Source organism: Homo sapiens, chromosome 10 (genome assembly GCF_000001405.40).
Source record: "Homo sapiens chromosome 10, GRCh38.p14 Primary Assembly".
NCBI lineage: Eukaryota > Metazoa > Chordata > Mammalia > Primates > Hominidae > Homo > Homo sapiens.
The window spans coordinates 101,056,900-101,080,939 of NC_000010.11; the positions used below are offsets into that span (position 1 = coordinate 101,056,900).

General features: G+C 51.8%; 1 protein-coding gene and 1 long non-coding RNA gene across 9 annotated transcripts, besides 6 other annotated features; one reads left to right on the plus strand and one right to left on the minus strand.

Annotated features, from left to right (window-relative positions):
- Nucleotides 1–1,695: 1,695 nt before the first annotated feature.
- LOC107984262 (uncharacterized) lies at nucleotides 1,696–3,852 on the minus strand. Its single transcript, XR_001747569.3, has 2 exons — nucleotides 3,211–3,852; nucleotides 1,696–2,757 (listed from the first exon to the last, which is right to left on the minus strand). It is a non-coding gene; the product is annotated as an uncharacterized LOC107984262 (long non-coding RNA).
- Nucleotides 3,733–4,027: an enhancer, noted in NCBI's record as "tiled region #11881; HepG2 Activating DNase unmatched - State 1:Tss, and K562 Activating DNase matched - State 1:Tss". NCBI's record gives its function as "activates a minimal TATA promoter and a strong SV40 promoter by Sharpr-MPRA in HepG2 and K562 cells {active_cell/tissue: HepG2 | K562}" and the evidence as "EXISTENCE:reporter gene assay evidence [ECO:0000049][PMID:27701403]".
- Nucleotides 4,155–4,574: a silencer, noted in NCBI's record as "silent region_2716". NCBI's record gives its function as "represses an Ori minimal core promoter by ATAC-STARR-seq in GM12878 lymphoblastoid cells {active_cell/tissue: GM12878}" and the evidence as "EXISTENCE:reporter gene assay evidence [ECO:0000049][PMID:35858748]".
- Nucleotides 4,954–5,842: an enhancer, noted in NCBI's record as "H3K27ac-H3K4me1 hESC enhancer chr10:102821610-102822498 (GRCh37/hg19 assembly coordinates)". NCBI's record gives its function as "activates a minimal SCP1, AML or CMV promoter by ChIP-STARR-seq in naive H9 embryonic stem cells {active_cell/tissue: H9 hESC(naive)}" and the evidence as "EXISTENCE:reporter gene assay evidence [ECO:0000049][PMID:30033119]".
- On the plus strand, nucleotides 5,090–11,232 carry KAZALD1 (Kazal type serine peptidase inhibitor domain 1). Of its 8 annotated transcripts, none has more exons than XR_246107.4 (6): nucleotides 5,090–5,216; nucleotides 5,643–6,204; nucleotides 7,362–7,522; nucleotides 7,602–7,749; nucleotides 7,927–9,649; nucleotides 10,349–11,232. XR_246107.4 is itself a non-coding variant. In NM_001319303.2 (6 exons), exons 2-5 carry the CDS (start codon nucleotides 6,163–6,165, stop codon nucleotides 8,019–8,021), a joined length of 501 nt encoding a protein of 166 aa, NP_001306232.1. In that variant the 5' UTR covers nucleotides 5,090–5,216; nucleotides 5,643–6,162; the 3' UTR covers nucleotides 8,022–8,044; nucleotides 10,349–11,232. The 8 variants fall into 8 exon arrangements, 5 of the variants coding, with proteins under 5 accessions (NP_001306232.1, XP_024303981.1, XP_016872204.1 ...); NM_001319303.2 differs by having other exon boundaries at nucleotides 7,307–7,522; nucleotides 7,927–8,044; XM_024448213.2 differs by having other exon boundaries at nucleotides 7,927–8,044.
- Nucleotides 5,755–5,804: a silencer, noted in NCBI's record as "silent region_2717". NCBI's record gives its function as "represses an Ori minimal core promoter by ATAC-STARR-seq in GM12878 lymphoblastoid cells {active_cell/tissue: GM12878}" and the evidence as "EXISTENCE:reporter gene assay evidence [ECO:0000049][PMID:35858748]".
- Nucleotides 11,031–11,130: a silencer, noted in NCBI's record as "silent region_2718". NCBI's record gives its function as "represses an Ori minimal core promoter by ATAC-STARR-seq in GM12878 lymphoblastoid cells {active_cell/tissue: GM12878}" and the evidence as "EXISTENCE:reporter gene assay evidence [ECO:0000049][PMID:35858748]".
- Nucleotides 12,850–14,049: an enhancer, noted in NCBI's record as "CDK7 strongly-dependent group 2 enhancer chr10:102829506-102830705 (GRCh37/hg19 assembly coordinates)". NCBI's record gives its function as "activates an origin of replication core promoter dependent on BRD2, BRD4, P300/CBP, MED14 and CDK7 cofactors, with strong dependence on CDK7, by STARR-seq in HCT116 cells {active_cell/tissue: HCT116}" and the evidence as "EXISTENCE:reporter gene assay evidence [ECO:0000049][PMID:35650434]".

The following is a 24,040-nucleotide window of genomic DNA, read 5'->3' on the forward strand; positions in this document are numbered from 1 at the left end:
GGTGGTGTGCCTGTAGTCCCAGCTACTTGGGAGGCTGACGTGGAAGGATCCTTTGAACCCAGGACTTTGAGACTGCAACAAACCATGATCACGCCACTGCACTCTAGCCTGGGCAACAGAGAAAGACCATGTCTCAACAAAAACAAACAAACAAATCAAAAAAACAAACAAAAAAATGGTTATCTAGGGAGAAGAGGAGGGAAAATTATCGGGGAGGGGCATGATGGGGGCTTCTGAGGGTGTTGGCAATGTTCTGTTTCTTGACCTGGATAATCACAAGTGTTCATTTAGTAATAATTAATTTAACCATATATCTACTTTGTGCACTTTTCTGCTTGTCTATTATACTTCATAATGAAATTAAGTTAAAAACAAAATGAGAACAAGAAATGTAGAAAGGGCCAGGCGCGGTGGCTCACGTCTGTAATCCCAGCACTTTGCGAGGCCGAGGTGGGTGGATCACTTAAGGTCAGTTCAAGACCAGCCTGACCAACGTGGTGAAACACTGTCTCTACTAAACATACAAAATTAGCCTAGCATGGTGGTGCATGCCTATAATCCCAGCTACACGGGAGGCTGAGGCAGGAGAATTGCTTGAACGTGGAAAGTGGAGGTTGCAGTGAGCCGAGATTGTGCCATTGCACTCCAGCCTGGGCAACAACAGTGAAACTCTGTCTCAAAAAAAAAAAGAAAGAAAGAAATAGAAATGTAGAAACAATGTACATGTGGAATGATTTAAGCATCTTTTCTAAGTTTATCAATATAACATTTGGCCAAGTCATCAGGTTGGATGGAGCTACAGTCACCATTTCAAGGGTCAATGGGATACTGAAGGTGGGTGTTAGGGGGAGGGATTGCCTTTTGAGATATACGAAGGTAGACTGAGGCCTGATTTAGATGTCCTGAAGCTTATTCAACTTGCCTTAATGCCTAGGTATTCCAGAAAGCCAGTTCCTGGCTATTCCAGTCTTCATTTTGTAACACTACTTATAGCTGAATTATGTTTTCCTTTTTCTTTTCTTTTCTTGTTTTTTTTGAGATGGAGTTTTGCTCTGTCACCTAGGTTGGCGTGGTGGCGCGATCTCGGTTCACTGCAACCTCCGCCTCCTGGGTTCAAGCGATTCTACTGTCTCAGCCTCCCAAGTAGCTGGGATTATACGCATGCGCCACCATAACCAGCTAATTTTTGTATTTTTAATAGAGATGGGGTTTTGCCATGTTGGCCAGGCTGGTCTCGAACTCCTGACCTCAGGTGATCCGCCCACCTTGGTCTCCCAAAGGGCTGGGATTACAGGCATGAACCACTGTGCCCAGCCAATCTTTTTACCTGGCCACCCCAGCTTTGCTACATTTATCTTGACATTCTAATTTACCTATAAAAATAGCCTCTACTAGGAAGCCAAGGTGAGCAGATCACTTGAGGTCAGGAGTTCAAGACCAGCCTGGCCAACATGACAAAACCCTGTCTCTACTTAAAAAAAAAAAAAAAAAAAAAAAAAAATTAGCCAGGTGGCTACTCAGGAGGCTGAGGTAGGAGGATCGCTTGAACCCGGGAGGCCGAGGTTGCAGTGAGCTGAGATTGCGCCACTGTACTCCAGCCTGGGCGATAAAGCTAGACTCTGTCTCAAAAAAAAAAAAAAAAAAAAGGAAAAATAACTTATAAAGCAGTAGTGAGTATTACACTCAACCATTAGCCTCATTCCAAATTCTCTTAGGATGTTTATTGATGATATAGATGATAAATACACATACAGTTGTGATCAGTATCCATATACTTCTTCTTTTCTCTTAACCTTATTTTTCCATACATACTTTTCACTTTGTTTCCTACATACATTATTTTGAGTTTACCTATTTGTCATAGTTGGTAGCTACAAAGTATTCCATTTTAATTATCTATGTTGAGGTTTTTTTTTTAATCAACCAATTCTAATATTCACAGGAAGCACAATTTCTCCATATCCGTCTTTAATAGGTCAGTATGGACCATTTGTTTCATTCCTGCTTCTTCCTCAAAGTTGCAACTCTACTATTTTCACCAGCTGTGTCAAAACAGGGTTTGTGAAGTGACAGGTTGAAATATGTGGATCATTTGAAGTAATTTCTTTTCTTTACCAAATTAAACAATGACTGTATGCCTTGTTTCATCTTTTGTTGTTCATCTGTATAGGGCTCTTTTCACTCTTTTATTTTTAAAATTCTATTTTTTATTTTTATTTTTTGAGAGGGGGTCTTGCTCTGTCACCCAGGCTGGAGTGCAGTGGCGTGATCTGGGCTCACTGCAACCTCTGCCTCCCAGATTCAAGCGATTCTCCTGCCTCAGCCTCCTGAGTAGCTGGGATTACAGGCGTGCACCACCACGCTGGGCTAATTTTTGTATTTTTAGTAGAGACAGGGTTTCACCATATTGACCAGGCTGGTCTCAAGCTCCTGACCTCAGGTGATCCACCCGCCTCCGCCTCCCAAAGTGCTGGGATTAAGAGGTATGAGCCACCACGCCTGGCCCTAAACTTCTATTTTTAAAGAGACATGGTCTCTCGAACCCTTGAGCTCAAGGGATCCTACTGCCTCAGTCTCCCAAGTAGCTGGTGCTACAGGCGTGCACCACCACACTCCAGCTCATCATTCTGTCATTATACTTCAGTTATTTCATGTGTCAGTGACTGAAAGTGAACGTATGATAATCTTGTGAACACAGGGCTTCACAGTGGAAAGAAAACTACATTCTATACCTCATTCCTTCTTCAATACAAGCATCTGCAGGAAAAGGGGAAAAAAGAGGCGGGACCATCTATTATTCAACAAATTTCAACTTCACCCTGCCCATCTGGATCTAGTCTCCCTCATTAAATGCAAAGGATGCTGCCACCTGGCTCCTCTCCCTAGCAGTATTCACATCATCTAGGCTAGAAAATCCCTTCCCTTTGGCCTGTTTTGCACAAAACCGAGTAAACATTTTCAAAGTATATATACGCAAAATCATTTGCTATCTCTTTACTATGTATGATGCGCATAGGTGTTACTGAATATTTTGGAGCCTTGATGGATAAAGTATGGGATGTTGAGGATCGGGGAATGTATCTAAACTTTCAAGTTGTGTCCTATTCAAAAAACTCCCTTCTAAAAGCATTTTTACGGTATGTAGGGTTTTAATGTAACAAAATCTCTACTTAATAACAGCGGATCCCCTTTTATTATCTTTGTGCCTACCTGGATGCACGGTTCCAGCATGTTCTCGTCACGAACCACAAGCCCACCAGAGGGCGCTGGTTCCCCGTCTACCTACTGTTCTCCATCAGCGACTCAGAAAATCCAGGTTAAACACTCAGGCAGTCTTTCACATTTAATCCACAAATATTTACCGAGAATTTGACGTGCCACCAGGCGCGGGGCTAGGTTCACAAGATACAGTAGTGAGTTAGGCACGATTCCTACTACCAGAAGCTTAGAGCATAGGGAAGACTAAAAGTAAGCCACCGTCTACAATAGTAGGATAAGTGGAGAGTTTCTAGGTCCGTGGAGTTTGTTGTTGAATATCTGCTCCAGGCCTTAGAAGCCGGCAGCAATTCACTAAAAGATCCCGGACTTGTCTGCTCTGTATCCCAGCCAAGGAGCTCCGTCCCCAAGGTGTTTTGTTAGAGTCAGAGACCTCTCCTTGGGTGATTCCATTCGTCAGCCCCACAAGTCCCCGTCTCTGGCCTTTTTCAGGGTCTCCGGCAGCTCTCTGACAGTTCCCCTTCTGTCTCAGGTCGACACTTATTCCAAGGACCAGGGATTACTCACAACTATCCGCCAGAGTTTGCTCCGCCCTTTCTTTTTCCTGTTTAAAATCCGCGGGCTCTTAGTGTTCTCGGTTCCTAGATTTCCTGTTCTGATTCTCGCGACAGTTGCGAGGCCTCGCGTGAAGTTCCCTTCTAGTCCCTATTTCGAATTTGAGACCGGGAGAGAGTGTCTGCCCTTGCCCACCTCCTCAGAACCCCTCTGGCCAGGGATGGCGCCTACGTGGCTCGGGAGCCCCTGAATGAATGGGCTTGGCCCAACTTAGGGGCGCATTCCGACGGGAGAGTCCTGGCTGTATTCCGAGGCTCCAGTGCGCATGCGGAGTCGATCCCGCGCAGGCGGGCGGGGACGGCAGCCGGGTCTTGTGGGCGGAGCCTGACTAAGTGCCGCCCCCTTGCCGGCTGCAGATTGCTATTTCTGCCCCCCACCCTCGCCCATCCCCCCGCGAGCTGGACTGCGCCAAGGCTTCTGTGAGCCGCTTGGGGCCGGCCGGGGCGGGGCCTGCCCGACCCGGGTTTGGCTGGCGGGCCCCTAGGAATGCTCTCCTCCCCGCCCCCGGCCCAAAGTGCCACGGTGGCGGTGGTGGCGGCCGCGAGGCCGAGTGTCTCCGGCCCTGCCAGCCTCGCAACCGTAACCTGTAATCCCGACCCGAGGGACGCCCGCCGGGGAGGCGCCAGCCCGCCTCTCCCTGCGGCCGCTGGTCGGCTCCGACCTCGAATCACCCGGCTCACCCGCGGGTCGCAGCACCTGCCGGATGTGGGGAGGAAGAAGGAGGCCAGATGAGGGAAGGCGGATGTAGGCGCCCAGTCTGTCCGCGCCTTGGTGGGGCAGCTGGGTGGGCAAGCCTGCGGTCGCTCCCGGGAACCAGCCCTGGGCTGCGGGGAGACGAAGGTGGTTGGTCCTGCCCTCCAGGAGCGCCCCGACATCGACGTAAAATGACTTGGCACCAGAGCTCCTGCCGCCTCCCCCTTATGCAGCTGCCCTCGCCGACGCCAGGGACTGTAAAATCAGATGGGACAGGGCCTAGCCGTTCAGCCAACACTTTGAGCTTCCCAGCCAAACTCCTACCCCCACTCCCCGCCTCCGGTCCTCACCCCCTTCCTCTCTCCCAGCCTCGGTGTCTGGTTACGGCTCCTCTGCTCGCATTGTGACTTTGGGCCAGGCTGGGGGAAATGACCCGGGAGGGTCCCATGCGGCTACATAAAATTGGCAGCCTTAGAACTAGTGGGAAGGCGGGTGCGCGAAGTCGAGGGGCGGAGAGAGGGGGCCGGAGGAGCTGCTTTCTGAATCCAAGTTCGTGGGCTCTCTCAGAAGTCCTCAGGACGGAGCAGAGGTGGCCGGCGGGCCCGGCTGACTGCGCCTCTGCTTTCTTTCCATAACCTTTTCTTTCGGACTCGAATCACGGCTGCTGCGAAGGGTCTAGTTCCGGACACTAGGTGAGCACTCTGTGCCCCAGGCCATAAGCGAGGCGGCATCAGCCCCCCCAGTTCTCACCCCCCATTAGCAGCTTCTTACTTCTGGAGCCACCCATTCTCTTTGGGCAAGGATGCTCAGGGGCCAGGGATCGGAGTCGGGTGGTGCACGGAAGTGGTGCTGGTGGTGGGTGTGCGTGCGCCTGAGCCTTATCACCCTTTCCTCACCTCTCTTCACTCCCAGCCCTCCCAAGAACAGCCCAACTGATTGCTAACTGCCATAACTGGATAATCCCTAGAGGGTCACTAGGCCTGTGTGTTGGGGGAGGCTACTTGGTAGCAGGGGAGGGGGCGATGCTAGTGTCATGCTTTGGTACAAGAAGCAGTGAGGTTGGTCTTTCGGCACAGGCCCTGTTTCTGACCTCCTGACCTGGCTTCCCTTCCTGGCAGGGTGCCCGAACGCGCTGATGCCCCGAGTGCTCGCAGGGCTTCCCGCTAACCATGCTGCCGCCGCCGCGGCCCGCAGCTGCCTTGGCGCTGCCTGTGCTCCTGCTACTGCTGGTGGTGCTGACGCCGCCCCCGACCGGCGCAAGGCCATCCCCAGGCCCAGATTACCTGCGGCGCGGCTGGATGCGGCTGCTAGCGGAGGGCGAGGGCTGCGCTCCCTGCCGGCCAGAAGAGTGCGCCGCGCCGCGGGGCTGCCTGGCGGGCAGGGTGCGCGACGCGTGCGGCTGCTGCTGGGAATGCGCCAACCTCGAGGGCCAGCTCTGCGACCTGGACCCCAGTGCTCACTTCTACGGGCACTGCGGCGAGCAGCTTGAGTGCCGGCTGGACACAGGCGGCGACCTGAGCCGCGGAGAGGTGCCGGAACCTCTGTGTGCCTGTCGTTCGCAGAGTCCGCTCTGCGGGTCCGACGGTCACACCTACTCCCAGATCTGCCGCCTGCAGGAGGCGGCCCGCGCTCGGCCCGATGCCAACCTCACTGTGGCACACCCGGGGCCCTGCGAATCGGGTACGCATGGCCCGGGGCCCCCACCCCAGCACTTAGGTTTCCTAGAGGCACTGCTCCCCGACCCCTGACAGCATTGGTCTCTGGCCAGCAGAGCAAAAAAGATAAGGCTATAGAGGCCTCGAGTCCAGTATAAAACCCTGCTCTCGCTACTGGTTCATAAAAGCTGCCACCTTAAGGTGGGGGTGGGGGGTGGAGTGGAGTGGGAGTCCCGGGCTTCGTCAGCAAGCTGCATTCGCTGAACCACGTGAAAGCTCCAGAGCTGGCTGGCAGGGAGAGACAGGTCCTCTGAGGGCGCAGGCACATAACCTATGGTTTGCTCAGAGACCCCCCCGACTTTTCCCAGACCAGTGGAGTCCAGGCAGCAAGACGGGTTCCTGTGAGATGCAATCACGTTTCATTCTTAGAGCAGTTTGTTCACCCAGTCTCCCCACCTCTCTGCTTTCTCCTGCTTTTAGGGATTAGTGAAGGGGAGCGGGAAGTTCTTTCTCTATCCCTGGGGACTGGGGTCCATTCAGGCCTCTAGCTTTCCTTGGTAGCTTTAGTAACTTTCACTTCCTGAGCCCGGGCTCTGCGTCTGGCTCGGCTGGGGCAGCCAGAAAACAAACACCCCGTGGGGGTCCCAGCAATTTCCTCCACTCCTGCAGGCTTCCTGCCTGTCGCACAAGTCCAGCTTCAGGTTCTCTGCCTTGCCGCAGGACTCCCCCAGGGGGTACTGAGGAGGGAACGGCTGCTTTTCCTCCTTTGGGAACTGGGCCTGTTTAGAAAAGGGGAAGGGGGATCTGGAAGGTTTTGATTACAGGCACGCAGGAAAGGCTGGGGAGGGTGAAATGAGGACAGGGGAGCAGTTAGGGACAGAGTGGCTGCCAAGCTACAATGTAGATGTGTGTGCTTGTTTGTGCATTGGGTCTGCATGAGGTTCTATGTGCACATGTGCATGTATACCTATCTCCACGTCTGCGTGGTACCCTTGTGTGTACCAGCATCCATATCTGTGTGTACCTGTGTGTGTCACGGTGTGTTTATGGATGTGTATTTACCTCAGCATATATTGTGTTCTGCCACAAGCATGTCCACAAAAATTTGTGTATCATGTCTTTGCCAGACTGGATGCCTTTGCTGGGCCATGCTATTCTCAGACCTCCCGCCTTCACCCCCAGGGCCCCAGATCGTGTCACATCCATATGACACTTGGAATGTGACAGGGCAGGATGTGATCTTTGGCTGTGAAGTGTTTGCCTACCCCATGGCCTCCATCGAGTGGAGGAAGGATGGCTTGGACATCCAGCTGCCAGGGGATGACCCCCACATCTCTGTGCAGGTAGACTGGTGGGAGAGGCTTCCCTCAGGCAGCCCAGGGCCCTCCAGAAGGACCCTGCTGATTCCTTGCCTGGCTCCAGTTTAGGGGTGGACCCCAGAGGTTTGAGGTGACTGGCTGGCTGCAGATCCAGGCTGTGCGTCCCAGTGATGAGGGCACTTACCGCTGCCTTGGCCGCAATGCCCTGGGTCAAGTGGAGGCCCCTGCTAGCTTGACAGTGCTCACACCTGGTAAGGGGATTCCTGAGTTCTGGGGGTTGGGGGGATGGTGCTGGATTCCAGTTGTGAATGTGTAAGAAACAGACCATGTGTCTGTATACACAAGCATAGCCTTCCGCAGACTGGGCTATGTGGGCACCGACAGCCCCTCTCTCCTGTTCTCTCTTCTTTGCCCATGTGTGTTTGCAGACCAGCTGAACTCTACAGGCATCCCCCAGCTGCGATCACTAAACCTGGTTCCTGAGGAGGAGGCTGAGAGTGAAGAGAATGACGATTACTACTAGGTCCAGAGCTCTGGCCCATGGGGGTGGGTGAGCGGCTATAGTGTTCATCCCTGCTCTTGAAAAGACCTGGAAAGGGGAGCAGGGTCCCTTCATCGACTGCTTTCATGCTGTCAGTAGGGATGATCATGGGAGGCCTATTTGACTCCAAGGTAGCAGTGTGGTAGGATAGAGACAAAAGCTGGAGGAGGGTAGGGAGAGAAGCTGAGACCAGGACCGGTGGGGTACAAAGGGGCCCATGCAGGAGATGCCCTGGCCAGTAGGACCTCCAACAGGTTGTTTCCCAGGCTGGGGTGGGGGCCTGAGCAGACACAGAGGTGCAGGCACCAGGATTCTCCACTTCTTCCAGCCCTGCTGGGCCACAGTTCTAACTGCCCTTCCTCCCAGGCCCTGGTTCTTGCTATTTCCTGGTCCCCAACGTTTATCTAGCTTGTTTGCCCTTTCCCCAAACTCATCTTCCAGAACTTTTCCCTCTCTCCTAAGCCCCAGTTGCACCTACTAACTGCAGTCCCTTTTGCTGTCTGCCGTCTTTTGTACAAGAGAGAGAACAGCGGAGCATGACTTAGTTCAGTGCAGAGAGATAGGTGAGGCCAGCTCGAGATCTTATACCACTCTGTATTGGACAAAGGCTAGCACAGGGCTAGGCACCAATAAAGATTTCTAATGATGCACAGACAGTTTATGCAGATGTGCACATGAAAACTGAATATCCCTGGGAGGCCTCCCACACTAACAGAACTCTGGCTTCCAGAAGCTGCAGGGCCTGCTCTCTAAGCACATGCCTGCCAGATGTACAAAGAGAAAGTTTGAACTTGGGCCTATCCCGCCTTTGAGGGAGGGAGGCTGGAGCCATATGGCTGGAGGGAAGTTATCTTCCCCGTCTGCCCTCCATTGGGGCTGATATACATTATCTGCTTCTTTGCTCATCTTATTCCAAACCCTTCCCCAGGCCAGAATGGGGAACAGGGCTATGTGGGTTGGCCCCCAAAATGAAAGCATAAACTGGATAGAGGAGGGTGGAAGTTTGGTCACCTGTGTGGTCCATACCCTTCCCCAGCTCCCATAGGAATCTACCCATTTCCTGCAGAAGCCAGAGTCATGGTAAGGCTGTTTCCTATCTGCCCCAATTGTGACCTGTCCTCTCTGGCTTGGGGTCCCCAAATCTCTTTCCTCATTCTCCTTACCTATCCCAGGGACACTGGTGAGACTCAATGTTTATTTAATGATTGGAGGAAAGAATGAAAGCATAAGTCAGCGAGGCCGAGGCGCTGTGTGTAGATGGCGACAGCCTCCTACACGCCAGGGCTCCACCCGGATCCTGGCGCCACTGCGGGAGGGCCTGCCCTTGGCTCAGCGTCAGAGTTTGTCCTCTGGGGCCCAACGCAGGGAGCCTGGCCACATGGGAGGGGTGTGGTCCGGAACTCCAACCCCAGGTCCTGCTTGGCCGCCCCTCCCGCGGCTACGCACTACTCCATCTACTGCTGGCTTGCCCCGGGTCCTTAAGCCAGCGACAGTTTTTATTGCCGAACCCAGGCTGGAAGCGGGCGGCCCTAGGAGCCGCGCACAACAGCGCAAGCGGGCTGGATACCGGGAGCCGATTCCAGGGCGCCCACAGAAGCAGAATCAGAGGGGTAGGCGGGGGTGGGGCGTGCTGTTCGGCGCTGTGGCCAAAATCCGCCCGGCGCTGAAAGAGGGGACGTGGGTGTGAGTCCCAGCATCAGCCAGGGAATCCGCCCCTAGCTTGTTCTTCGCCCAGCTGGGCTCCAAGACGCCCTCTGCGGGCCCATAGCTCCTACCGCGTCCACCTGCAGAGCAGAGGCTCCTCACCAAAAGCCCCACCCCACCGGAGAGGGTCACGCAGGTCCCGGGGAATCCGCACTCCTTAATCGCGTTAGCCGACTTTGTAGGTGTTCAGGAGCAGCCTCCTAGCAGCCTCAGTTTTCCCCTCCCCGCCCTGCTGGTTCAAGCACCACAGCCTGGAATGGGAGAACTGTTGTCCACCGCCCCCTCCCTCCCCGCACCCCGCCTCTGCTGCAGCGGACCCGCTTTAATAATGTCGCTGGAAAGTGACACGCGATTTATTATTAAAGTAATGCGGGCGCAGGGACGGGAAAGGTTTAATAAACGTGCTGAGATGCCGAGGATTATTCACCGCAAATAAATGAGAGCGCGGGCGGCGTTTTAATAAATAATTTCCCGCTGCTCCCGGGGGAAGGCAGGGGAGGGGGAGGGAGGGGGAGGGAGGAGGAGGGGGAGGCTGAGCCGCTGCCAGAACTCCCGGTTTCGCCTGCCCACGGGCTTCCAAGCCATCCCCGCGTTTTGTGTCCTAGGTTGCTCACACCCGAGATGTGAGGTTCCAGGAGCGCCGACCCAGAGTTGCCAGGCCTGAAGGCGGGAGAGGCTCAGTCGCACCCTACATTTCCCACCTCCAAGATTTTAAGTATAGTTCGCTTGAAATCCCTGGAATGCGCTTTCTTCTGGCTCCTACCCGGAGATCCGGAGTCCGGACAAACCGGGGCAGGAAGGGTCCGTCGGACCAGCTCCTCCCAAGCCGAGGCTTCCAGGTCTCGGCCGGGCTCTTCTCCCTGCTTTTAGCTGAGCCGGGCTGGGCGTACCTCTCTCCTCCATCTAGAGCAGGGTGTGAAGAGGAAGCCAGAGGGGGCTGTCTGAAAATGACCCTGACCCCCTCCTCGGGCTGTCGTGAGGAGGAGGGCCGCTTCGCCCGGCTGCTCGTCACCGCGAAGGCTCCAAAGAAGTGTTGCGCAGCCGTGCTGGTATAACTGAGGGTGTCCTGGCGAAGCCCAGCCCCTGGCGCCCTGGTGACCGGGGGGGTCGATGTGCGGACTGGGCAGAACTGGAGCCCGAAGCTGGAGAGCGCCCCTCAAAAAGAAGCCTGGAAGCCCGAGAGATGAACCCGACTCAGAGAGGGCCAAGACTGCAGACCTTGGGGACCGAGGACACCCTCACCACGCTGGTGGGGGCTGGGGGGATGGCGCGGGCGGTGGCGTGCGGGGAAGCGCCTGGGGAACACCTGGCTCTGCAAGTTTTGTGCCTTAGCGGAAAGAGGCGACATCTCTGGCAAGTTGGGAGTACAGGAAGTAGCGAAGGAGTGCCATCTGGTGGATCCTTCTGGTAGTGACACTCAGACCTGGGCCAGGGGCCTTGAGACAATTTACTTGACTGGAAAAATCTGAATAAAAAAAAGATGCTTCAATTTGTATTCATTTAATGTATATGAATGTGCACATGTATGTGTAGCATATATTAGTATGATATCTATATGTAAAATATAGTAGTTATGTGTGCATTGTATGTATACATGTATACATCTAATTTCATATGTATGTATGTGGATATATTATACATGAAGTTTTTTTTGAGATGGAATCTCACTCTGTCGCCCAGGCTGGATTGCAGTTGTGCTATCTCAGCTCACTGCAGCCGGGTTCAAGCGATTCTCCTGCCTCAGCCTCCCAAGTAGCTGGGATTACAGGCGTACACCACCATGCCCAGCTAATTTTTTGTATTTTTAGTAGAGACGAGGTTTCACCATGTTGGCCAGGCTGGTCTTGAACTCCTGATCTCCAGTGATCTGCCTGCCTCGGCCTCCCAAAGTGCTGGGATTACAGGCGTGAGCCACCATGCCTGGCCTACATGTAGGTTTTGTATGTATGTATGTGTGTGCAAAAGTCCTCAACCCTGGGGAAAAAAAGAGGCCCTGAAGAAAGGGGAAAAAGGCAGTGAAGGGGCAGAAACCCTGGTAGTCCAGCAAGGGAGGGTGAGAAGGAAGGGGGGAGGTATGAGTATTACTATAGACCAAGGGTTGGGGTGGCACCTGGAGACTCCTGGACTTGACTGCAACTGTATGTATTGTTATATGTATATGTATAGACATTTATTTTCAAGTATATATTCCATTATGTATCATTCTTTCTTTCTTTCTTTCTTTTTTTAGAGACAGGATCTTGCTCTGTCACCCAGGCTGGAATACAGTAGCACTTTCATAGCTCACTGCAGCCCCAAACTCCTGGGCTCAAGTGATCCTCCTGCCTCAGTCTCCTGAGTAGCTGGGAATTACAAGCATGAGCCATGATGCCTGGCTGTGTCATATTCTTTCTACAAATACTTGTTATGTACCAGCACTGGGGCTACATCATGGGAAAAAAATTGCCTGTAACCCAAGCACTTGGGAGGCTGAGGTAGGAGGATTGCTTGAGCCCAGGAGTTCGAGACCAGACTGAGTAATATAGTGAAGCCCCATCTCTACAAAAAAAAAATTTTTTTTAATTTGTTGGGTGTGATGGCGCACACCTGCAATCCTAGCTACTCCGGCAGCTAAGGAAGGTGGATTGCCTGAGCCAGGAGTTCAAGGCTGCCAGTAAGCTATGATTGCACCACTCCAGCCTGGGTGACAGAGCCTTAACAGAAAATTGTTCCTGCCCTCATGGAACTTGGATTCCAGTCTAAGATGTGTATGTATACTTACATTAGTTAGGTATGTTTATATTTCCAGGATTATGCTCACATGCACATATAATACTGTCTAATATGTGTATATGCGAGGAGTAGATAGGCCTAAACTCTGGTAGGCCTGGAGATTCCCTGGTTTTTTACTCACAATCACTGGTCCTGTCACCTGGTACTCTATTCTGAGCATGAAGGCAGCTGAGGGCAGAGGGAAAGAAACTAGAGACATAGGCCTGTTGCCTCCTAGGATGCACTGTGGTTATTTCCTCAGCCTTCTGAATGACTGAATTCTTTCTAAACCGGGAACAGCTGTGTAAGTCCACGCGTGGTAAGGAACTGTTAGTGCACATCAAGTCTTGCCTCTGCTCAGTGCTGGGGAAGGGTGGGAGCGGGGTCTGGGAGGCTGGGGTAAGAGGCTAGGTTCTCTGAGGGCAGTGATGAGGGCACTTAGAGACCAGGAGGGATCAGTTCTGGGAGGCAGTGAGCTCTGGGAGTCACTTGCAGATAATGAGGGGCGGTTTGAGGACACTTGGGGAGGGATGGGGTGGTGGGATAGAGAAGGGGGCAGAAGTGAGTAATGAGGTTGGGATTGGGGATGGAGTTGGGGTGGGGACAGGGCAGAGATAGAGGCTCTGGTGGCAGGGATACACCTGTCTGGGGGTGGAGCCTGGAAGCCATCTTGAGGGAGTCATCCCTCCCTCCCCACCCCCACCTCCCTTCCCCATGCTGGGCCCCAGTTTAGCCCTCTCTCTGCTGAAGCTGGCTCCCAGATGTGCTGGGGGCAGAGGAGAGCTAAGGCTCCAGGGCCTGGCCTGGCTTAGGTGACTCACTTAAGTGGTGGGCGAGGTGGGGCAGGGCTCACAATACCAGCGTCCCATGAAGCCTTGTCCCAGCCACCTGGGTCATCACCTACCTGGCTGCCATTACCAGCTTCCAGTTTGGGCTCAGCCCAAGGCGTTCAAACAAGGGTGGGGCATAGATCTGGAAAAGGTCATAGAATATCCACCCACTCCACCAACACACACATTTCTAGGACTGAAGTGGGAAGGTGCTTCTGAATCATTTCTTCCTTTCCCTGCTTTTGCTAGATGCTTTCCAGATGCAGTCAAGTCCGGGAGTCACCAGGTGCCACCCCAACCCTTGGTCTATGGTAATTTTCATACCTCTCCCCTTCCTTCTCACCCTCCCTTGCTGGACTTCCAGAGTTTCTGCCCCTTCACTGCCTTTTTCCCCTTTCTTCAGGGCCTCTTTTTTTCCCCCAGGGTTGAGGCCTTAGATCCCTGGGCTGTGTCCTCGCTGGTTAGGGAGTGGGGTGCGGGTGGGATGTGCTAAAAACGCAAGCTAGTTCCTGGCCTAGATTTATTTTTCTGATTGATTTATTTTTAGAGGCACGGTCTTGCTATGTTGCCCAGACTGGACTTGAAGTCCTGGGCTCAAGAGATCCTTCTGCCTCAGCCTCCCGAGTAGTTGGGACTATAGGTGCATGCCACTGTGCCTGGCCTGGATTTGGTTTTGACATTTACTCTGCCATTTCGGCAACTAAAGGCTCTCTGGACAGGGTGGACAGTTATGAAAGTCCAGTTGCGGTGACAAGAGTTACCCCACAATCAAATCTCATCCCATCCTCTTGGTGGGGAGCACCTTGAAGTACTCAGTATCTTCACTGAAATGAGGGCTGGAGTCCCCTGGAAGAAAAGACAGGGTCTCTATGAGAAGTGGTGACAGCTTGAGGGAAGTAATGGAGTCTCCCAGGATAAGGGTTGAGGACTCTAGGGACAATTGCTTCCTGCTACCCCCACCCCGAGAGCTGGAGTAGGGCTGGAGAAGGCCTCACAGTTCTCCTGGGCCTAACTCCTTGGTGTCAGAGGGGTTAAGTTCTGGGGGCATTAGTGGGGGGTTTCTGGGGGGAGTAATCTCTGAAGGGTAATGGTGGGTCTTTGCATAGGAGGTTTTGCAGTATGGGATTGAGTTTCAGTTCTGCTTTTTTTTTCTTTTTTTTTTTTTTTTAAGTCAGGGTGTCACTTTGTCGCCCAGACTAAAGTGGCACAATCATGGCTCACTGCACCCTTGAACTCCTGAGCTGGAGCAATCAATCCTCCCGCCTCAGCTTCTTGAGTAGTTGGGAGTACAGTCATGCACCACCCACGCAGCCAGTTCTGCTTTTTAAGTGCGTACATTGGGTAGGTTTCTTAACCTTCCTTCTTCTGTGTCCTCTTCTGCAATATAGTGATAAAATTTACTCCATAGGGGTTGTGATAAGGATTAGAGATCTTATAAGCAATGTGTCTGTAACAAAATAGGTGCTCAATAAACGTCAGTTTTACTATGCATTACTATTTTGGGGTAGATGATCTGCATGGAGATGGGGGCAGGGTGCCCAGTGCAGAGCTTCCTGCTGAAGTGGGTGTGTTGGAGAATGGGGTGATTGCAGTCTTGGCATCTGCCTGGAGGAGGCCTTAGGAATTGGGCCTTAGGAAAAGGGGAAAGGCGGAGGCAGGATAGAGATGGGCAGGGACTGGGCTTCCAGAGAGCTCAGCAGTCTTCACCCCCACCCCTAACCCTCCTCAGGGAGCCCTTGTCAGAACCCAGGGCTCTACCTCTGGGCTTGTGAGGAGGGGCATCCCCCAAAGTCACCTCCATCCATCTCTTTTATCTGGGCTGATGAAGGGCTAGAGCTCCAATGGGGCCTCTGATGGGGAACAGATACAGACCAGGCGGAAGCAGCCGGAACTGTGCTGGGCTGGAGCTGAGGACTGGGCCAGGGGGTCAGTGAAGACAGATAAAGCTCAGAGCAGCTGGAGGCTCAAGGGACCTGGGGCGGGGGAGCAGCAGGGCTGAGGGCCGGCTGTGTCCTGGGAGGAGGCAAGGCCGGAAGCTTCTGATGGGGACCAGTGTCCATCAAGGACTTCAAATGACCAGACAAAGCCTTTAATGACTCTTTGGGAGGAGGGAAATAGGGACGGAGCTGCCTCCCCCAGACATGTGTGCAGGAAGGCCAAGGTGCCTGCTGAGAGTGAGGGTTGGTCCTGGGGGAAGTCGAAACTTAAAACAGGAGGAACCCTCCAGGCACAGGGCTGAGGCAGCGGTTCTGGGGCTGCCTTACCTTTAAGGCAGAGAGAGATGGGAAAAGGATTGGGAAGTGATTCTGTGATTTTAGTTTCTGTTTTAATTAACTTTGAAGGGCTTGGGGCCTCCCTGAATGCCAGGGAGGGGAGCAGAGCAGACATTTATTTTCCTCTTTTCCCTTTTAAAGACAATTTTATTAAATCACTTTGTTTTCATTCTGGCTTGAACATGGGGCGTTTAAATGGAAAAGTAATTATTTCACCTTGTTTGCTTATGGAGAGAGGGGAGTCAGGAAAGGGAGGGACGCCAGTGAGAGGAAGAGGCTGCAGTCTCAAGCCCAGTGTGCACACAGCTTGCGTGCACACACAACCATGCTCACACTTACACCATAATCCACGTCCACATATCTCTCACACTAGCACACGTGTGTACAGTCCCAAATGCAGACACTTCAGTACTTGCACGCACACATCCACATTCTCCTGACACACACTCCTTCGCCACAGCCACACTTACAGACAGAAGCACTCTCTGTCATGCACACTCACAGCACATTGTGCTCACAGTACAGGCACATCACAGTACCCTTAAACACCTTCCAAGCACCCGTGGGTGTGTATGCATACACCCGTTCACACAGGTGCATGCACGCACACACACAACCCCAATGTAGGCCAGTACTTCCAAGCCTATTGCATTACATCATCGGAAGTACACGCAGTCTCAGACACAAAATTACACAGACGCTCATTCTCAAATACACAGGCACACCCACACCCTGACAAGCAGCCTTGGGGACAGACATGTGAGGGGGACATTGTCACGGAGAAGGTGAAAGAGTGGTGGAACGCTCCCTTTTACTGGGGTTCCTGAGTCCCCAAATTGATCTAGGCTACTCCATGAGCCCCTTTCTCTGTTCCTGTAAAGTTCTCTGAATGATTGCTTGTGACCTTGATTCTGTAGCCTCTGGGACAGTCGCTCCCCGCAATCTAGCCCCCCACCTCAGATCACTGTAGCAAGGCAAGAGGCCCCACAGGTTTTCTGGGTTCAGCCGGCCCTCATCAGGACCCAGGTTCTAACTCCAGCTTCCCCGACTCCCGCCGCCCCTCCCTGCTATGTGAACCAGCGTCGGAGGGGTTAAAATTTCTGTAGCGCGCCCCCCTCCACCCCCACCCCTGGCTGGTACAAGGAGGGCCGGTTTGTGCCGTACCTGTACTTTGTCTTCATCTGTCACCCCTTCTGACAGTCAGATACATCTTGTGGGGGGGGGGCGTGGGGGGCGAGGGAGCAATAATTAACCTCTCCCGCCTCATCCCCCAAATGCCATTGCCTCAGCAGCGGTTGCATGGGGGCTGCCGAGGAGAAAGAGGGAAGGGGAGGAGATGGAGATGGGGAGAGGGGAGAGGGGAGAAAGCGTGACGCTTCCAGAGCCACAAGAGGGAGCAGAGAGGAAAGGCCCTGACATTTTATTGCTCTGCCAACCTCTTTTCCGCACCCTTCTTTCCACCCCTCTTCCTGGGGGAGCTGCGGGCAGGTGGGAGAGGCAATTAGAGCGATAGGAGAAGCCTGCCGTACTCACCACCATTCCCTCATAGCAGAGGCTCCTGGCAGGGGTTGGGGGTAGAGCGTGGCGGGGAAGACAATCTTCATATATGAGCTCTTCAAGGGGACCCGCAGAACTTACAGCATGCTAGGCAGGGGTAGAGGGGGTGGCCGCCCCGTGCTGGCGTTTCATGTTGCTGTCAAATGAACAGAGCTTGTGTTAAGAACCAATTTTTCTTCCAATCAATGAAGGGGAAGATGTCTTGGGTCATTCCTGGAGCAGTCAAATGATTCCAATGCCAAGGAGCTGTGGCTCAAAGGGGACTTCAGATTTGGGCTGGGCAACAGAGGACACTCGAAAAAGTCAAGCAAGCCCCTAAGCAGTGGCTGGAACCAGAGCTTGGGTAAGGGGAAGACCAATTTGTCTTGGGCTGGGTCCTTGGATGAGGCAGCCGGTGGGGGAGAATAAGGATCTGTAAGAAACACCCAGCCAAGGAGAACTCTGTCAGGAGATAATCAGCGGGGATGGAAAGGAGAGGGGTTGCTGTCACCGCTGGGGCTGGTGGGGACACAGAGAGTGAGACAGGGCCCGGCCTATCCCCTGGGCAGCCTGAAGGCCAGGAGATTCTAGATTTTCCCACCACTTTAAGAAGTTGTTAGTCAAATCTATCATCTTTAAGGTTTTTTTGTTTGTTTTTGTTTTTGTTTTTTTGAGACAGAGTCTTTCTCTGTAGCCCAGGCTGGAGTGCAGTGGCACCATCTCAGCTAAATGCAACCTCTGCCTCCTGGGTTCAAGTGATTCTCATGCCTCAGCCCCCCGAGTAGCTAGGATTACAGGCATGTGCCATCATACCCAGCTAATTTTTGTAATTTTAGTAGAGACATGTTGGCCAGGCTGGTCTCAAACTCCCAACCTCACGTGATCCACCTGCCTCGACCTCACAAAGTGCTGGGATTACAGGCATGCACCACTGCGCCCAGCCTCATCTTTTAAGTTTTAATTTTAATTTAATTTAATTTAATTTAATTTAATTTTTTTGAGACAAAGTCTCTGTCTCCTAGGCTGGCGTGCAGTGGTGTGATTATAGCTCACAGCAGCCTTGAACTTCTGGGCTGCAGGGATCCTCCTGCCTCAGCCTCCTGAGTAGCTGGGGCTACAGGTGCATGCCACCAAGCCCCAGCTATTTATTTATTTTTTTGATTTTTAATTTTTTTTTTTGTAGAGATGGGCAACATCTTGTTGCCTGGGCATCTGTCACCTTTGTGGTGTCTGAGATATAGGACCTTTTCTCTAAGGTCTCTGAGAGAGTTGTGAACACAGTATTGTCCATGAGTCAGAATTCCTGGGTTTTAACCCTAGTTCTACCACTAGCTAACTGTGTGATGGAAGATAAGTTACTTAACCTCTCTGGACCTCAGCTTTCTCACTTACAAACTGGGGAGGGGGCTGCTGATGAGACAAACTCTATAGACAATGCTGGTACTGATATCTATAATCTTTCTACGACCTGAGGAACCTTGGTTAGGGCCATCTGTGCCCTCCTCCAGCACATACACATTCTGAACCCCTCCCTCCACTAGCAGCATACACACGGACCAAAAGGTGCTCTCTCTCTCTCTCTCACACACACACACACACACGTGTGTGCACACTGTCTCCTTGCCCCCATGTGCTGTGTACATCCCTGGACTCCCAATCAACTATAAAATTTGCTGTGTTTGGGAAGGACGCAGGGGCTAGGGCACCCTAATAGAAAAGCTGACTCTATGCATTTCTGTTAAAAGAAGAGCCTAACAGAGGTGGGAAGTGGAGCACCAAGATAGGAAGTGTGCACTGGAAAGGGCTTCCCAATGGGGAGAAGAGGCACTGGCAGGGGGAAGAGAGTCAGCCTGAGAGAGGTGGAGACAGAGAAAAAGAAGCCGACTTAGCTGCAGGGGACCTGCTGCTGAGAGTGAAGAGTGAAACGTGCTGACAGCCTTGTCAGGAAGTCACCTCGATGCATCCCACACCCCTGTCTGTCAGGTTCCATCTCCCCAGGGGAGGAGCTCTGTGAGTCAAGCTGCTCTCTGTCCATCCCCGCCACCCCCCACAATACACACACACAGCCCTGCTCCCCAAGATGGAATTAATTTCTGGCTATTATTTTTTTCACCTGGAGAAGTACTGCAAGTTTTGACAGCATTAGGGAAGATGAGAGAAGTAGGAAAAAGTCAGGACTACCCAGGGTGGGGCCACCTAGGCTGGGGCTGGGTCACCCTAGGTGGTGCCTAGGATTGAGCTGATCTTCTGGGTTGATGTGGCAGTTAACATAGAGCTGGACTTTTCTCTAACAGCTCTGAGTCTGGAACGGCTGTGGGTCACCGAGGACACATCACGGCCCTGGAACAAAGCTGGGCTCTTGTATAGCTCTGTTCTCCTGAAGGGGATGGTTGGAGTTTGGAGAGACTGATGAGGGCAGCCTTACGTGTGAGGTGGAGATTCTATCTCCCTAGCCTTGGGAGTCAGAAGTGATTTCCACCCTCTTTGGCCACCCTCTGGGGTTTCTTTTCTGGCCTTGTCTCCTTGCTCCCAGCTTCCCATCTGTGGGAATAGGTCTCAAGTTTCAGCCCCAGTCTCTGGTTTCACCCACTCCTAGGGCTTCACCTATCCCCTTAATAACTCCTTAGTCTGTGTTTAAAAAATCCTTTTTTTTTTTTGGTCCTTTACTTTAAAAATGTAGTCTAGGAACATACGCTTATAAAAATTTCCATTTTGGCCAGGCGTGCTGGCTCACGCCTGTGATTCTAGCACTTTGGGAGGCTGAAGCAGGTAGATCACTCGACCTCAGAAGTTGGAGACCTGCCTGGGCAACACAGCAAGACCCCATCTCTACAAAAAATACAAAAATCAGCCAGGCATGGTGGTGCACACCTGTGGTCCCAGCTACCCAGGAGGCTGAAGTGGAAGGATCATTCAAGCCCAGGAGTTGAAGGCTGAGTGAGCCATGATCAGGCCACTGCACTCCAGCCTGGGCGACAGACTGAGACCCTATCTCAAGAAAAAAATTCGATGTCAAACTTCTGTATTGTATAAAGGAGTGAAAGCCTTTCTCTTTCCCTCTAATTCTATTCCCTTTTCCATAAGCAACTACTGTTAACAATTCAGTGTGTAGTCTTCTAGGTCTCTTACATAGTCACCATATAGACACACACAAAAATAGGGTTTAAAACAATTACTGTATATTTATCGTGTCATACTATTATTTTGCAATTTGCCTTTTTCACTTAAAAATACCAGAGATGGGCCAGGCACGGTGGCTCACGCCTGTAATCCCAGCACTTTGGGAGGCTGAGGCGGGCGGATCATGAGGTCAGGAGATCGAGACCATCCTGGCTAACATGGTGAAACCTTGTCTCTACTAAAAAAAAATACATAGCTTTGGGAGATATATCTAATGCTAAATGACGAGTTAATGGGTGCAGCACACCAGCATGGCACATGTATACATATGTAACTAACCTGCACATTGTGCACATGTACCCTAAAACTTAAAGTATAATAATAATAAAATAAAATAAAAAAATACAAAAATACAAAAATTAGCCGGGAGTGGTGGCGGGCGCCTGTAGTCCCAGCTACTCAGGAGGCTGAGGCAGGAGAATGGCGTGAACCCGGGAGGCAGAGCTTGCAGTGAGCCGAGATCGCGCCACTGCACTCCCGCCTGGGTGACAGAGTAAGACTCCGTCTCAAGAAAAAAAAAAAAAAAAAAAAAATACCAGAGATATTTTCTAGGTCATATATGGATATACCTCAATATGTGTGGATATATTTCACATGACACTCCAGAATAGATTGAACCAATTCTTTATTCATAGACCTTTAGGTTATTTCCAAGCGATGCCACAATGATCCTGCTTTAATACATGTCATTTTTTGGTACAAGAATGAATATTTCCTGAGATTAACGTTTCTAGAAGTGGCATCTGTGAGTCAAAAAATATGCACTAGGCAGGTGCAGTGGCTCACGCCTGTAATCCCAGCACTTTGGGAGGCCGAGGCCGGTGGATCACCTGAAGTCAGGGGTTCAAAACCAGCCTGACCAATATGGTGAAACCCTGTCTCTACTAAAAATACAAAAATTAGCTAGGCTTGCATGCCTGTAATCCCAGCTACTCAGGAGGCTGAGACAGGAGAATTGCTTGAACCTGGGAGGCAGAGGTTACAGTGAGCCCAGATCGCATTACTGCACTCTAGCCTGGGCAATAGAGCGAGACTCTGTCTCAAAAAAAAAAAAGCACTATATCTAACCCTGACTGTCCTTCAAGTTTGAAACACACATTGCCAAGCAAACACCCATGGATGCTTGGAAGAGGGTGGCCTGCTGGTTATTGCAAGGTGAATGTCTCTAAGTGCTTCAAACTTGACAAGTCCAATGCCAAGGGCATTGTTCCCTCTTTTCCCATCCTGCTACTCTGCCTCCCAGCCTCCTTGCTTTGGTCAGCATCATTCCTACACATGCTTTTGCCCAAACATCATACTTTGAGTCATCTTTGACCAAGGCATCTGTGTGTTCAGATTTGCCCAGAGTTGTCCACAGTTCATGTCTATTGTCTTGGTAAAATCATTGCTAGAACTCCATTTATGCTCAAAACTGTTCTAGATTGCATGATAAATTATGTGCCCACATTATCTCTCTTCATCTGATTCCTGTTCAGTTCATCACAAAGTCCCAGCAGTTGTTTTTCCACTCTTCCCTCTGTTCCTTTGCCTCTGCATAGCTCAGGATTCCATCATCAGGCCTGAATGACAACAGGCTCTTAACTAGCCTCCCCACTCTGCATCTCTCATTCCTCCAACCCATCCTTCCACTCCACTCCCAGTCTGGTCTTTTTAGGCCACTTATTTTTATCATATAATTCTTTGGCTCCCCACTGCCTACAGAATTGAGACCATTCAAGATCTGTCATAATGCCATGGCTCATCAGAGCAGACATCACCCATCCCCATAAAGTCAGAAATCTGCAGAACCTTATATGGAGCAAGGGCAATAATCAGGCACTGGAAAAACTTTTCCATGCCACTCAAATCTGCATGAGATGGCCTGGCATAAGAAAGGCAAATTAATAAGAGAAAAGACCCTTTGTGATCTGAATGAAGCCCAGAAGGTGGCTTGGTGTCTCTCTGAACTCAGATCTGGGGCTAGCCATAGAGAGACCCCCTTGGGCAACATTCCTTCTAGCTCATTCTTTCTCTCCCTGCCCACTTGCTTTGCTACTTGCACAGTAATTCCAAGTGCGGTTTCTTGTTCCAGAGCTAGAGTCTCTAGGGACATCTTTTTTTTTTTTTTTTTTTTGAGACAGAGTCTCACTCTGTCCCAGGCTGGAGTGCAGTGGTGCGATCTCACCTCACTGCAACCTCTGCTTCCTGAGTTCAAGCGATTCTCCTGCCTCAGCCTCCTAAGTAGCTGGGATTACAGGCATGTGCCACGATGCCCAGCTAACTTTGTATTTTTAGTAGAGACGGAGTTTCACCATGTTGGCCAGGCTGGTCTCGAACTCCTGACCTCAGGTGATCTGCCTGCCTTGGCCTTCCAAAGTGCTGGGATTAGAGGTGTGAGCCACTGAGCCCAGCCTGTAGGGACATCTTTTGGTTCTGCATAGTTTCTGATGGGCTCTTAACCAGCTGGTGCCTGCCCCCTGTACTCCATGCCAACTCCGAGGAATGCCATATATGATCCAAGATCAAAGAACACCCAATCCTTGAGTGAGTGGGAGGGTGGAAACACAGAGCCATATACTATGATAAGAATTGACCCTCAAGCCACACCCTGAGGGGACTACCCTAGGGAACCTACAGGGAGGGCCTGGTCAGAGCTCCCTATCCCTCCCCACCATGTTAACTCCCACCCACCTGAGTCTTTAGAATGAGCTTCTGGAGCTCTTCACCAAACCTAAGGGCACCTGCAGCCTCCCCACTCCCTTCCCTGGCATCCCTTCCCTTCACTCAGATGTTGCCAAATGGATGGTGAGCTTGGATAGGTCCTGGTGGCGGAACTCCAAACAGGGAGGGAGGCATCCTGGCCCCCTGCCAGCATTCTGTCCATAGTAATTTGGCAGGGAAATGCCAGCTGCATATATCTGCACATCTGTTTATGCCTCTGGCTTGTTATTTATTCTCTGCCTTTCATGGGCAGCAGAGCCAGAGCACACCTCAACTCTTCCCAAGTCAGATTAACTGGGAAAGAAGGCTGGGACATTCAGTCACTACAATTGCTGATGCTCATTGAAGGATTTGCCTTCTTCAGCAGCTGCTGCCACTTTTCATAGAGACACAGAGGAGAGGATCGGGGGGAAGGGAGGGAAAGGGATAAGGGTGGGAGGAGAGGTGAAGAGAGGAGAGGGCTGTAGTGTTTGAGCCACAGTTGTGCTGGGAGTACTCAAATCAGGTGGGCTGATTCTGAGCTCCACTGGAGAAGGGGAGTTGGCCAGTCTGTCAGAAACAATCACCCTGACCTTCCTTCCTGCTAACCACCAGATTTCGGCGTGTGTGTTCTTGTATGGCTTGGGTAAGAGTCAGTCGTGGGAATAAGGCTTTTAACAGAGGTTTGGTGGGATAGGCTTCTTGGGGTGCTTAAATAACTTTTCTTTTTTTGAGACAAGGTCTCACTCTGTCACCCAGGATGGAGTGCAGTGGCACGATCATGGCTAACTTCAGCCCCGACTTCCCAGGCTCAGGTGATCCACCCACCTCAGCCTCCTGTGTAGCTGAGACCACCAGCACACACCATCATGCCCAGCTAATTTTTTGTAGAGATGGGGTTTCACCATGTTGCCCAGGCTGGTCTCTCCCTCCTGGGATCAAGCGATCCACCCATCTTGGCCTCCCAAAGTGCTGGGATTACAGACGTGAACCACTGTGCCCAGCCTAAATAACTTTTCTTGAGGGATTCCTGGGGTGAAGTACCTGG